At 37.6% G+C, this 14,610-nt stretch overlaps 1 long non-coding RNA gene across 5 annotated transcripts in view, besides 1 other annotated feature; it reads right to left on the bottom strand.

Annotated features, from left to right (window-relative positions):
* The window catches only part of LOC100506851 (uncharacterized), an 84,650-nt gene that overhangs the window by 15,713 nt on the left and 54,327 nt on the right, over nt 1-14,610 (bottom strand). For 3 of the 5 annotated variants that reach the window (XR_001744215.3, XR_001744214.2, XR_942713.4), the window contains one exon: nt 2,467-2,560. The exons of 1 other annotated variant lie outside the window; for it this stretch is intronic. This is a non-coding gene — a long non-coding RNA (uncharacterized LOC100506851). Of the gene's footprint in view, nt 1-2,428; nt 2,561-14,610 lie in introns of all 5 variants that reach the window. One more of the 5 variants, XR_001744213.2, reaches the window with a different exon arrangement.
* Nucleotides 9,918-10,212: an enhancer, noted in NCBI's record as "tiled region #1391; HepG2 Activating DNase unmatched - State 8:EnhW". NCBI's record gives its function as "activates a minimal TATA promoter and a strong SV40 promoter by Sharpr-MPRA in HepG2 cells {active_cell/tissue: HepG2}" and the evidence as "EXISTENCE:reporter gene assay evidence [ECO:0000049][PMID:27701403]".

The raw sequence follows: 14,610 nt of genomic DNA, 5'->3' as shown, positions 1-14,610 counted from the left end.
GTAGAATGTATTTCTGTTTCTCCTTGTAATTTCTGTAATGGTTGTTTTATTTAATATGCAAGAGTGTTATTTGATGCATAAAAGATTCATAATTATACCCTCACTGTAAATTGTGCCCTTTGGCTTTAAGAAAGTCCTTATTTTTGTAGATTATTGTTTGCTTTTTGGTCTGAATTCTACCTTTTTTGATATTAAGATCTTGATTCTATTTTTATTTTGAGGGATGCTTGCCTAGTATTTATTTGTAACCTTTCTGGATTGTTTTGTTTTAGGTGTGTATCTTGTATAAAACATAGAGTTGGACGGTTTTGTGATCCAGTCTGAAAATCTTTTTTTCAATGTGTAAGTTAAGTAGCTTGACATTTATTGATATTCAGATACATTTGATCTTTATTCCATCGTATTATTTTATGTACTCTGCTTTAGCAGTGCTTAAAATATCTTTCACTATATGGTTTATCTTCTTTTGTGTGTGTATTTTTTTCTGATATTAAGAAAAGTCTGTTGGGTTTTTTCTCATGCCTAATACCTTTGATCTTCTATTACTTTGGGCAGTATCTATAAGTTCCATATTCAGCAGTGTTGAAAATTAGTGTGTTTCTTTTTCATGACTCCTCTTCAACAATAGATTTTAGTTGATAATATAATATTGTCTTTCTTATTCTTTATACTGTTAAATATTTTTATATTTCTACGACTTGGTTTGTCAGCTTTAAATGATACCTTTCAACTCTAAACTATTACAAATAAGGAAAGCAATATACTTATTTTAGCTGCTATTTTTTCTCCTTTTTCTTCCCAACTTTTATTAGTTTTGTAATTTTCACACCAAGACATAAAACATTTGCACTCTGTTCTGATACTTTATTCTGCATTTGCTTTAGTTTTTATCCTGTAGTTAAATATATTCAGTGCTTATAGGCAATCTTGTTGCAGTAACATCCCCAGTCATCTCTCTGTTATTTGAAGTCATCCCACCACAGTGAAATTCTTTTCGCCATCTGACTGGTAAATTTGGCTCCAGATACCACCCTGATGGTTCGCTTTTCAGGACCGTACTTGACTTACTTATGTTCCAGGGAAAGGGAAAGGTAAGCCTGGGACAAGAGCTTGTGTACAAGTAGTTGGCTGGGGAAGTGATCCCAGAAAGTGGGAGTGAGGGGCCAGAGAAAACAAGGAAAGGAGGGAACTCCAATATGTGCATTCATTAGTGAATTGATAAGGACATTCTGAGGATTGTACTGAATGTGTCTTGGAACTGTCTCCTCAAAAGACAAAGGGGAGAAGTATTTCTCCATTGACTCCTTCTCACAAATCCTACTTGAGAATCCATGAGTACTGAGTATGACTAACTCTTTAGGTGAGCTGCCCTGTGCACAAAACAGTTTGCAACCTATATGGAAATATTTGCCACAAATATAACTGGAATCAGAGATGAGACCAAGAGGATGTGAGGTGGTACACAGGAGGCATCTGATACAATTCCAGTGTCTTAAACTGTGATTTTAATTACCTCTGTGACCAGGTGGTTAAGATTATTTTATATTTCGGTTCCATTTAAAATTTTATTTTGTCATTGTCTTGTATTGTTAATTTCTGATTTTATTTTTATAGTTAGAGAATATGGCAAGTAGAATTGTTACTTTTTGAAATTTATTGAGATTCTATTTGGAGCTTAGTATATGATCAATTTTGCAGATTTTTTTTTAATGAATACATGAAAAGAATGAGAACTCTCTGTAGAATACAAATTTCAGTTCTGCTCTTTGTCCTTTTGCTCAATTTAAGATTGAAAGAGAGCATTCATTTCCTTTTAAAAATGTTATTTTGTCAGCCAGGCATGGTGGTTTACTCCTGTAATCCTAGTACTTTGGGAGGCCAAGATGGGAGGATCACTTGAGGCCTGGTCAACATAGCAAGACCCCCTCTCTATTTATTTACAAATAAAAATGAAAATAAAATGTGATTTTGTCAGTTTCTTCTTATATATTTCTTTAATGTATTTTCAATAAAGTTAATGGTCCCCATTTTGGAGGTTTGGAGGGTGTTAAATACTCACAACTCTTTCCTTTCCAGTTTATAAACTAATTGAGAAAGATACTCGAATTGGATTGGATCGGATGAAATATTAGCTTCTTTGCATGCTACACTGAATTAGGGGACTTCTCTAATTCAGGACTGAATTTCTAACCAAAACAGACTTTCCACTACTTACTCACTTTATTTAGTCATAAATAAAGGTAGATGAGAAAAGGCAGTTGCCCCAGAATTTTTAAATGGTAGGGATAGGAACAACAATGTGATTGGAAGAGCATGCTTGGGAGTGTATCTTGAAGTGGTGTCTGCATAGCAAGCACACTGTTTTATTGTTCATTGGATGGCTTAGGTGGGAGGGCTGAATTTTTCCAAAGCCAGATTTTAATTTTACCATTGTATGATTCAGGGAGGTTTCCACACAGAACTCACGCTGTTTTCAGATGGGTAAGCGAGTGTGTCAATGAGAGTAGTCCACGAATGCAGAATGATCCTTTTCTGATTTCACTGATCAAATAAGTTAACCCTGTGGAAGGAACAAATGAGAGCTAAGGGGAGGCACTTCTGGAGGTGCACCTTAACACTTAACACTTATCAGGGGGAGCACTCAGAGGGAGAAAATAGTATCACTTCCCTTTGTCATTATTGTGTAATTTTTGGCAACATAAAAGTCTCCCTTTTGCTTCAAGTAATTTCTTTTACCTTGAATTTTATTTTGGTGTTGACATCAAGACCCCCTACTTCTCTTTGGTTTGCATGTCTCATGTTTTTGTTCATCCCTTGATTTATTTTATGCCTTCTATATGGTTTTGTCTTTGATATGTTCTTATAAAGAGCATATATTTGGATTTCTTTAAAAGCCAGCATAAGTGTTTTTTGCTTGTTACACTTAGAGTTGTCACTGCTGGGTTTTGTTTAACATTAACCAGCTAATACTTGAAGTTCTTGATTTTTTTTTTCCTCTGTTAGGTTTTGTTTTTTTCTGTCTATTGATTTGAATGTTATTAATCATAGTACTTTTATATTACCTCATCATTAAACACTTGTTCACTCAGTTATTTATTTCCTAAATTTTTCTCTCTGTGTCAAGAATAACCCAAATCTGTTGACCCTCTCAGTGGAAGATATAAAAATTATCCTATTTTCTTCATTCCCCCTTTCCCATTTGCTGGTTTTTGTTCAAATGTTATAGGAATGTAAATTCATATTGTTATTATTATTACTTTACATTCCCTTTCAAGACTTTTACTTGATATGCATACTAAATTTAATAACTGTATTAACAGTTACTTAGACTTTAACTCTGTTGGTTTTACTGCTTACTGGTTTTTTTTCTGTATCTGTCTTCACTTAGTAAATTCCAATCTTTTGTTTTTGATGTTTCAAATGTTTTCTTAGTTATATTGACACTGTACTTTTTCCCTCATAATTAAATAAATTAGTATTTCCCAAATAATGACTGTCATTCTGAAATAAATTTAGGAAACACTTGGGCAAACAAAATTAAGCATACTTCTTTATTGCAAGCTTCTCAGAGTCCGTGTTATGCAACTATGGGTTATAAATCTTAGGGACATGCACTTTTCCCAAATTTGATACCATGCCAATTCTCTTGGTATTAAGTGTTACAGATAACTTTAATTCGGATTTTTTCTCCTTAGTAGATTCTTTGTTTACCTAGATTTTATTTCTTTATTACTGACATGAAAATATCAACAGAACTTGTTTAGTGTAGGTCTCTTTTGTTTTTCCTAGTACTCTGTGCATCAGACAGCATAGTACCTAAGGCAGAAACCTCTAGATACTTTAAACAGAAAGGATTTAATACAAGGAGTGAGGTGCTTATGAAATTGGAAGAACTGGAGGAGCAGGCTCTACATTGGGCTTCTGGGTGTGATTCATAGAACACTGGCTGACCACCTACAGGGGAATCACTTTTCTACTACAATCAGGAGGCCACCTGACTTCAAGAATGCATCATCCAGCTACAACTCAGACAATAAAAGACCAGAATTAGAAAGCCAACATCACCACAGTCGCTGGACACCGGAGTCCAGAGTTTGGCTCCTGCTGCCCCTGAAGCAGCTGCAAACTGTATTTGCCGGTCCCCACAGTCTTGGTTGCCAGCAGAAAAATGCCCCAAATGGGAGGAAGATAGTTTCCAGGACCCTACATTCCAGCAATGTCGTTTTTAGCTTTCCAATTTTTGATGCTCATAAAAGTATGTTTTCCTGATTAATACAACCTTAAGCTACTGGGATTAAATAGACTAATGGAGGCCAAATGACACTTCTTAACTTCTGGGTTTCCTATCTCTGAGAATTCAGTATGTTCAATCCTTTAGTCATGAATCATCACCTTTTCCCTTTCCAGGAATTTTCCACAAGGATGGTGACAACAGGTCACAGTAGGCAGAAGAAACTAGGGCTGAAGTTTCTCTAACACCATTGATTGCCCCTGTAATGAGTAAGACTCTAGAAATATTTTTCAGGATTTAGTTTCTTTCTCTTTATCAGAAGACCGAGTAAGCTATTGTTGCCATGAATACTCTGGACCAATGCTCATTTAGGTACACAGCCCCATTGACTATTATTTCCTTGTCCTATCTCACAAGACCTTCAAAACTTTCCCAGGGCTCCTGCTTTTCTGGACACCAAAATGCTGCTTAAATCTAGTAAAATAAAACTAAAATTTATGAGAATAACTGCTCCATTGTTCACAGGAAACATCCTGAATGACTCCATAGTTTAATAACTGCAGTCACCTTGACAGAGGGTTTTCATACAGATGACTTTCCTTTATCAATGTAGTACCCTTCAAGACCTGTCTCCCAGCAACACCCTCCCCCATCCTGACACGTAGCAGAACCCTGTTATCCTGGCCAGTTTTCATAAACACCCAAAAGATTCTGTGGGTATGTACTCTGAACATCCCATGGGAGACACTAAAAGATGTACATTTACTCCTTTTCGTCAACCTAAAAATCACAACAAAATTCTGTCCTTTCCAGCCTAAAATTTTTACGAAGACAGTGACCATTTTAAGATATCTCCCGAAAGACCTTAGAGAGGAGAGTCTAAGGGGAAGTACTTCTGCTCTCCTCCCTTGAGTGTTTGTTATTTTATTGGATTGCCTCATTGACACATGACCCAAAGTAAAGTGTGTAAGTGACGAAAAGCGAAGAGCATTGGCTTAAAGGGTGGAAACAGGGTTGTTCGCTAGCAGTGTCCTCAGGTCCAGTTATTTAACTCCTCTGTTAGTTTTGCTAGCAGCCAATTGGGGATTTTAATAACTTGCCCTGCCTAACCACGTGGAATTCTGTCCGTGCCATTTTTGTCTGTGTCCAAGTACTGATGACCATATAGTACAGTATAATAAAAATAGCTAACAGGACAAGTGGAGCTGGGTTGTGGCAGTGATAAGCCTCAGTTTTTGTGGGCATCAGCAGGAACACAACAGCCCCTTCCTCAGACTCAGGGCTGTGGCTGATGACCAGGGTACTGAAGGCAGCTTCTCCAACACTCACTTGTACCTAGGCTGTGTCTGTTGCCCAGGCTAGAAACGTTCTTGCTTATTCATCCAGAAGCACCTATGAGCAGCAAACTTCATCTAGAGCCACTGTTCTTGAGCAGGGCCTTGGTTCCAGAAGGGAATTCTGAAAATGCTGAGAGAATGCTGCACATATCTCTTCCATTACACACTGGAGACAGGGCAGTCAGACCTAAGGAATCCTATGGTTCCTGCCCAGCCAGCCACTGTGCCATGCTATGGTGGTGATAAACTCCCTACAAGCACGTCTTTGGCTCCTCCTTTAAATTAGCCTCTTAGCTAAAAATAATAAATTATAGGAGGAGGGGTTTTGTGTTACCTCCTGCCCTGGAGATTTAAAGGAATCTTTGCTCTCTGGGATTTCTCTTTTAAGAGCCATTGGAAGGAAAACCTAAACGAACATTTAAAGTCCCTTTGAACTGTAGCCTGTGAAGTTCCAAATACACCCTAGGAGGCCTGTGAGTCGATGTGATGTGGTGATAACAGTCAGCTGCTTCCAGCAGCTCCTGCTGTCCTTCTGCTCTGATGACACAACTTGTAGCTTTGGTCTCATTTTGAGGAACCTGCTAAAGATGGCTCTATTTGCTTTAATTCTCAGATTACTTCAGACTAATGTGTCACATCTAATTAAGATGGTGCAGTGCTGTCCCCTTGCTCTACTTACCACAGCTTCTCTGCTGAAATGTGCCATTTAACCTGGATTGTCCCAAAAGCTGGGGAACAGCTTGCTGACTGTGGTTGATGCCACGGTATCATCTTAGCAGATTTTTTTATTTCCATTAACATTTAACCTAGTATATCTTCAAGTGTTTTAATATTCCAATCAATAAGTAGAAAAATAGATATTGGAAAATTAATTTTCCCACATAATATGACTCATGCTCCACAAGATTTTTTTTGTCTTGCTCTGCTATTATAGTAGCTGCTCTGCCAACCCCATGAGTTATTGTGAGGCTCAGGTGAAGTGATATATGTATAGTAATATGTCAGGGTAAGTTGTCCAATATTTCAGGGTAAGTTTTCTACAGGTGTACATGCTAAGTGCTGACCTACTCTGTGATCTTTGTTATCTGATAAAGCTGGACCTGAACTCTGGAGGAAAAGTTTTAAAAATGTAAACAGTGCTCTATACGTGTAGTTTTGGTAACAATAAATGAAGTGTTTTCATTCCCAACCATCTCATTATGACAGTAACTCTGCTGCAGCCATTAATATCTGGAGTTAATAATCTTCTGTACTCACTGACTTTTTAATGTCTGTAAGGCAGATAGTAATCGCCAAGACTTGCTCTGCTCCTAATTGGCAATAGCAATATATGGTTTTGCCCAATATTTCTTGTGACATTATCAAGCTATTTGTGAATGGATCTGTGTGTGTTTGAAAAATGGACAGAAGCAAAACCATAAACCACAAAATTAGATGGACAAATAAAAATCCATAAATGTTTCATATCACTTTTTCTTTTCATGCTCATAGGTTTCAGCCAGGCTACACTGCCTGCCCTCTTCTAATTCAGCTAATTTGTCTATCTTTCCCGTTACACAGGTTTTCAGCGATTGCCCTGGGCAAAAGCTGACTTTCTCAGCATTTAATTCTGCAGATATTTTCTTCAGTGTAGCACGTTTTCCCAAGATACCTACTTGGATCTGTTCTGGGGTTCCAATCTCTCCAAATCCTAGGATGTCTAATCCTCTACTTGGAAATTATCCCCTTTTCCCTTTCTAGGAACTTTCCATAAGGATGGTAACAACAGTTCACAAGGGGCAAAAGCAACTAGGACCGAAGTGGCTCTGCCAGCCAGTCCAGCATTGGTGTAGACAGCTACTTGCGATACTTATGACGAGGGCTGGCCTGCATTCTTTTTGTAATTTTTAATCTGTATTATTATAAGTTACAATTAAGTAGCATTTTCGTGGAATAAGTGCTGAATTAAACCTAGATATTGAATGTACCTCACATAGATTTCCTTTAGAGGGCACTATTGATTCTCTGAAACCATGGAAACCTTTCTTCATGTTTTCTTGGTAAAATTGGCCAATTTTGAAATCTTATTGGGTTTCAAATCTACTCCATATAGTACAAAGTACTATACTCGTTACCAATTCCATACTTTGAAGATTGTCCATGTACAGAATAAGAAGTTACACCAGAATGTTGTTTGTTATGACAAGTCATCAACACAATACATATAATTCTATATTTGAAAACCTCAACTGGTTTATTTGCTTTTGAAATAAACCAGTTCAAATGGGAATTTCCTTTTGTAACTTGATGCAAAATTTAAATTAAACAATTCAGTCTTTTTTGTTTAGAAAGACAAATTACTTCTTTGGAAACTAATGTTTCATTCTAGAAATGGGTAATTATTTACATATATTTAGAAGAAACCATATTTATGGTATTTTCATTCAGACATTCATTAACATCTGAAGATACTCTACTAAAATTTTGTGGTCACATTTGTTGTGTTTTTTAGACTCTGCCAGTTTGTTGAATTTTGATAAATGCTGAAGGAGAATGCTTTTTTTTCTTCATTATTTAAAGTTAAGAGAATAGAACTTTGTAAATTGTCTCACTGGCAGCCTTTATCTAATTTCAAAATAATGGGAACCTAAAATACTCCAAAGCTCAGAAACATAATTTTGTGACATAAATACATTCATACCACCATCTACCAATGTTTACTTAGCTTTCATATAATAAGGTACTGTTCCAACATGTATGCCAATATCCTAGGTTAGTGGAAAGCAGTTATCTCATGTTTTATAAACAAACAGATTAACAGAAAGGTCATGCACATTCCAAAGAGAAGAAAATAGGTTTCCATAGTTTAATGAATTACATACAAATTCCTTGAACCAGCCTTTTAAACTCTTCACAGAATGGCCCCAGTTTACCTTCCTAACCTCGGCTTCCTCTACCAATAACCTAAGCTCCCAGCAAATGGCACCACCCACTATTATTCGGACATTTGTGCTTTTCGGTATTCCTCTCTTGACTCATCCAGTCTTTTGCCGAGAGTGCTTTTGCCTCCCCAAATGCAAATTGTAAAGGTCCCATCCATTCTTCAAGCAGCATTTTAACTGAGTCCTCTCCAGAAGCTCCCCATCTTGTGAATTTCCATGGCTGGTTGAGTATAATTTCTGAGTTTATCAATTTTGTTTTGTATTTAAGTGGGTTGGATGCTTGTTTCCTCCCTCTTTCTAGATTGCAAATTTTTTAGAAATCATTTTGGGATCGGTATCAATTCTAGCGCCCAGCATATGGTAAGGGCTCAATACATATTTTTTCAAATGAACTGGGTTAAACCAAGACATTTTTGCCATTTGTCAAATGAGGCACATTGAAAGCAGAACTTGGATAGTGTGGGATCTGAGGAATAAGGATAAATACCAGAGACATTAAAAGTGAAGGGAAAGGCCTTGGAGACTTATTAAATGTGGAAAGCAAACACTCTTACGCTCTCTCTCTTATTTTATTTTAAATCACTGCACTTATATAACACAATTTGTAGCCTAGAATGAGGCTCTATGTGGGAAAGAACTTTAATTCACCACCATATCCTCAGCACATAGTCATTGGTGCAAGACAGATTTTAGGTGCCCAGTGATATTTGATGAGTGAATGAATTAATTGATTAAAATGCAAAGCTGTCCAGCAAGAAGGACAGAATTATTACAAACAGATTAGAAACCAAAGGAGAAGGGATAACTTTGGAGAGTATGGTGACTTCAGTTTTTTTAGAGATGCATAGATGAGCATCCAAGTAGAGAACACAGAGGAAGTAACTGAAAATTGGCATTGGAATTTCATTCAAGAGTCAGACTCAAATATGTAGTTTTGGGACTTACAAATTAGCTATAATTGCTGAAGCCATAATATTGGATGGGATTATGAAGAGGAAAATGTAGGGAGGTCTGTCCAAGCTATATCATTGGGGAGTGCTTCTGTGTAGGTACAGGGCTGAAAGCCCAATAATGAGGCCTGCTTGTAAAAGTCAGGGAAAAAGCAAGCATATTTTATGTCCTTTTCTTGACTAACCACTCTACTATATATGATATTATTGAATTTCTTTTTTTCCTTGGTTTTGCCATTTTGTACTGGTCCTTATTTTCCATACTAAATGTTATAGATTTTTTATTTCCTAAAACATATCAGTATTTGATAGACTTAGATATGGACTAAAACAAGTAAAATATGGCATATGAAGGATTAATATAAAGACCAGAAGCTGAAAAACAGATTGTTGTAGCTGTATGGGTCCTGCTTTGGATTCAAATAATTAATAGAATAAACTCAGATTGGATCAGATGGTTCTTAATAGTTGCTTATGCAGAAACTTCCTGAAAGAGTTTTAGTTAACTTTAAGTTGATATGAATGACAGCTTTTGCTACGCAGAGATCAAAGGAACAAAGAGGTTTACTGGCTTCTATCTGGCCAAAGAACACTTGGAATGCAGGGTCTACTGTGGATGACTCATTTTAGAGGGATGCAAACAACTCCCGGGCCTCCAGGTAAGTATGGTGGGGCCATGGGAGGAGTCAGGAAACCATAAAGAAAGACTGAATAAACTGTCGCCCTGAAGAAAAAAAGATTTAGGAAGAACTGGGAGTTGTCTTTAAATAGTTGAAGCAGTCATGTATAAAGAATTGAATTTATTCCCCACTGCTCCAGAGGGCAGACATAGGATCAGCTAGTGGAAATTACAGGGAGGCAGACACAAGTTAAGAAAAAACTCCCAAATATTTGGATCAATCGGTATATGGAATGAGTTATCTGGTGAGTTAATGAGCAACTGAATTAAGTGATCTCAAAGTTTCTTTGTCTCTAAGAATTAATGATTTATGATCTTCCAAACCATGCCTAATTTATGTAAAGAGAACCACTATTAACCTAGTATGAACATCCTTTCAGTGTTTTCTGTGCATATTGACATATATTATTTATTCATAGAATACATACTTTTTCTTAATCAAATAAGGAGTATTCTGTGCATACTACATTATAATCTTATTTTTTCACTTAACATATAGTAAACATTTTTCTATATCATTAAATATTTTACATCCTGACTTTTATGGGCCACATTGTATGGATGCTCCATCATTATGCAACCAGCCTCCTATTTTGGGGCACTTACATTATCTTTAATTTTTTAAGGATTACAAATAACCTATTTAATAAACCTTCATAATTTCTCTTCAGCAAAAATAGACTCATCTATAAGAACAGGTTTCATGAATACATCAAACAAACCAAAACTCAAACCAAATAAGTGAACTAACTCACTCTTGACATTTTAAAAGCATTTAATTTTCCTAATAATTTCCTTAGCCTGAAAACATTTTGAGGCAGGAATTTTGGCTTTTAAAAGTTCTATGCAGCAGGAAACATATTATTCATTATATGTGTTGGGTTTTTTTTTTTTTTTTTGCAGTTACAAAATTGTCCCCTTCATGTTAAGATTACCTCAAGGTGCAAGTATAAAACATAAAACATCTAATTAAATATATAAAGCAGAACACTTGTCTGGCAGCATGATCAATGTTAATGACAATATGAATGTATAATAATGATTTTTGAAAATGTAGGAGAAAACCCTGGGTTAGTTTTTAGTATATAGGATATGAACTATTTTAAATTACAGTTCAGCATAATAAGTAAGAGTACCACACATGACCATACTAGACACAAATTGCATTATTTTAAAATAATGCCATTTATGTTCCCTATTTATTTCATTCCACAATTCTGAGATAAGTGCACTGAAAGCAAAACGCTTAATTTAAGAGGGTTTTTGGACCAAAGATCAAAAAGTAGGTGTGGGTAAGTAGGAACACATTTGAAATGGTTTCCCTTTGCGAATAATTATCATTTTTGTCAATTCAAGTCCTTTTATTTTTGTGCCTTATGATTTAGTTTGACAAGTGTGTGTGGGAAGTAATTTATTTGCAAATAAAGCCCTTTAGCATTTATAATGTAGGCATAAGCCCAAAGCTGGACCCAGTCTGATGTTTCCAAAGAATAAAAAAAAAAAATTAAGGCAGGCTACTCTTATAGAAATCTCTAAAGATAATTAAGGAAGATCAAAGACTCAAGGTGGTGAAATCTCCTCGTTTTCTGAGAAGGCTTTCCCTGGCTGAGCATTCACTGAAGGAAACAGGGTGGCAAAGAAAGGAATCTCAAATAAAACAAAAAGACACCTGAGAGAGCTTTAAAAGGACCTATTCTAAGGCTGTGAGGCAGCCTTACCTGAATCACATAGTCAATTTATTTAGGGTAATTTAATATTTTTAAGAACTCTCATTGTTTGAGACTATATGACCCAGCATAAATCTTCAGCATGCTCTATCCCTAGTGGAAAGGGGCAATCCCTATGCTGCCATGGGATTCAGACTTTTAGTACTTGGTTTCTGACGTGACTTGTATTTGTTTGTGTATTTTTTCAACTTGAGGAGGAAACTGTCTTGCAAATAACATTCTCCAGGGTCCTGGCACCAGGAAATTTTCCCAGCATACTCTGCGGCGTTTGTCAAACTTAGAATGAAGAGACGCCACTGACCCTGTTCTCAGTACATAGAACCCAGTCACTATGACAGTGACTGGACAGCAGCAGAGGAGAGGGTCTTCTGGGCATAGACTGTTTGGGCATAGATATATACCTTAAAAATTTTGGAAAAGGACAGAAATGAGAAGAAGAAGAAAAGAAAAAGGGGACAAAATGAAGAACAAAATATGTTACCTCAGGGTATAGTAATAAATTGCCCATACCCAAAGAGAAGCCTGGCTTTTTCCTTGGGCCCTGGGAGGTACTCTCTAACCCCTTAGAATGTCATATCTTTGTCTACCTGAGGGACTTGGGCCACGCCAGCAGTCTAATAATGTGCTTTTGGTGGGGCTGGAGACTGAGGTCGAACACATGGGTGATCAACCAGGTCTGTGTGACTGAGTCCCAATAAAAACTCTGGGCACCAAGCCGTGGGTGAGCTTCCCTGGTTGGCAGTACTTTGTGCATATTGCCTCACAATGTTACTGGGAAAGCTAATGCTGTCCACAATATGCTGGAAGAGAACAATCAGTTCTTTGTTGGGGACTTTTCTGGACACTGCCCTATGTATCACTTCCCTTGACTGATTTGATTCTGTAACCTTTCACTGTGATAAATCAAAACCATGAATATAACAGCTTTCAGTGAGTTCTGTGAGTCCTTCTAGTGAACTATGGAAACTGAGAGTGGTCTCCAGAAACCCTGGAATTGCATTTGGTGTCAGAAGTAAGGGTGGTTTTGTGTACTGCTTCCTGACTTTGCACTCAGGATAGCAACCCAGTTCTCTCCACAGTGGAGAGACCCACCTGTGAGCTTTGCCACCTTCTTCTCCTCCACATCTCTTTGGCACCCACCCATCACTCTACAACCGAGCACACCCACTATTCTATAAGATTGTGCCACCAGAAGATTCCTCCTTAACCTCCCACAATCCCCCTCTAGGAGAAATTGTCTGCTGTAGTCTGGCTACTCTCCTTATTACTTCTCTCATACATGAATATATTGCCATTACTCAGGCTGTTCCCTTGATTTAAGTGTCCCCTCCTCCCTCATCCCATCTAAATCCCACCTGTGTATACACTTAAGAAAGGGGATGTTTTCAACTTCTTTGCCTTTGGTTTGAATTTCCTCCCGTAGCTCGGAGTAGTTTGATCGTCTGAAGCCTTCCTCTCTCAACTCGTCAAAGTCATTCTCCATCCAGCTTTGTTCCATTGCTGGTGAGGAGCTGCATTCCTTTGGAGGAGGAGAGGCACTCTGCTTTTTAGAATTTCCAGTTTTTCTGCTCTGTTTTTTCCCCATCTTTGTGGTTTTATCTACTTTTGGTTTTTGATGATGGTGAGGTACAGATGGGTTTTTGGTGTGGATGTCCTTTCTGTGTGTTAGTTTTCCTTCTAACAGACAGGACCCTCAGCTGCAGGTCTGTTGGAGTTTGCTAGAGGTCCACTCCAGACCCTGTTTGCCTGAGTACCAGCAGTGGTGGCTGCAGAACAGCGGATTTTCTTGAACCGCGAATGCTGCTGTCTGATCGTTCCTCTGGAAGTTTTGTCTGAGAGGAGTACCCGGCCGTGTGAGGTGTCAGTCTGCCCCTACTGGGGGGTGCCTCCCAGTTAGGCTGCTCGGGGGTCAGGGGTCAGGGACCCACTTGAGGAGGCAGTCTGCCTGTTCTCAGATCTCCAGCTGCGTGCTGGGAGAACCACTGCTCTCTTCAAAGCTCAGATGGAACTGAGCAACCTGTTCCTGAATGACTACTGGGTGCATAACGAAATGAAGGCAGAAATAAAGATGTTCTTTGAAATCAACGAGAGCAAAGACACAACATACCAGAATCTCTGGGACACTTTCAAAGCAGTGTGTAGAGGGAAATTTATAGCACTAAATGCCCACAAGAGTAAGCAGGAAAGATCCAAAATTGACACTCTAACATCACAATTAAAAGAACTAGAAAAGCAAGAGCAAACACATTCAAAAGCTAGCGGAAGGCAAGAAATAACTAAAATCAGAGCAGAACTGAAGGAAATAGAGACACAAAAAACCCTTCAAAAAATTAATGAATCCAGGAGCTGGTTTTTTGAAAGGATCAACAAAATTGATAGACCGCTAGCAAGACTAATAAAGAAGAAAAAAGAGAAGAATCAAATAGACGCAATAAAAAATGATAACGGGGATATCACCACCGATTCCACAGAAATACAAACTACCATCAGAGAATACTACAAACACCTCTATGCAAATAAACTAGAAAATCTAGAAGAAATGAATAAATTCCTCAACACATACACACTCCCAAGACTAAACCAGGAAGAAGTTGAATCTCTGAATAGACCAATAACAGGCTCTGAAACTGTGGCAATAATCAATAGCTTACCAACCAAAAAGAGTCCAGGACCAGATGGATTCACAGCTGAATTCTAACAGAGGTACAAGGAGGAACTGGTACCATTCCTTCTGAAACTATTCCAACCAATAGAAAAAGAGGGAA

Source organism: Homo sapiens, chromosome 6 (assembly GCF_000001405.40).
Source record: "Homo sapiens chromosome 6, GRCh38.p14 Primary Assembly".
In the NCBI taxonomy this organism is placed as follows: domain Eukaryota; kingdom Metazoa; phylum Chordata; class Mammalia; order Primates; family Hominidae; genus Homo; species Homo sapiens.
Note: the sequence above shows the minus strand (reverse complement) of the source record. Positions and strands in the feature narration are given on the sequence as shown.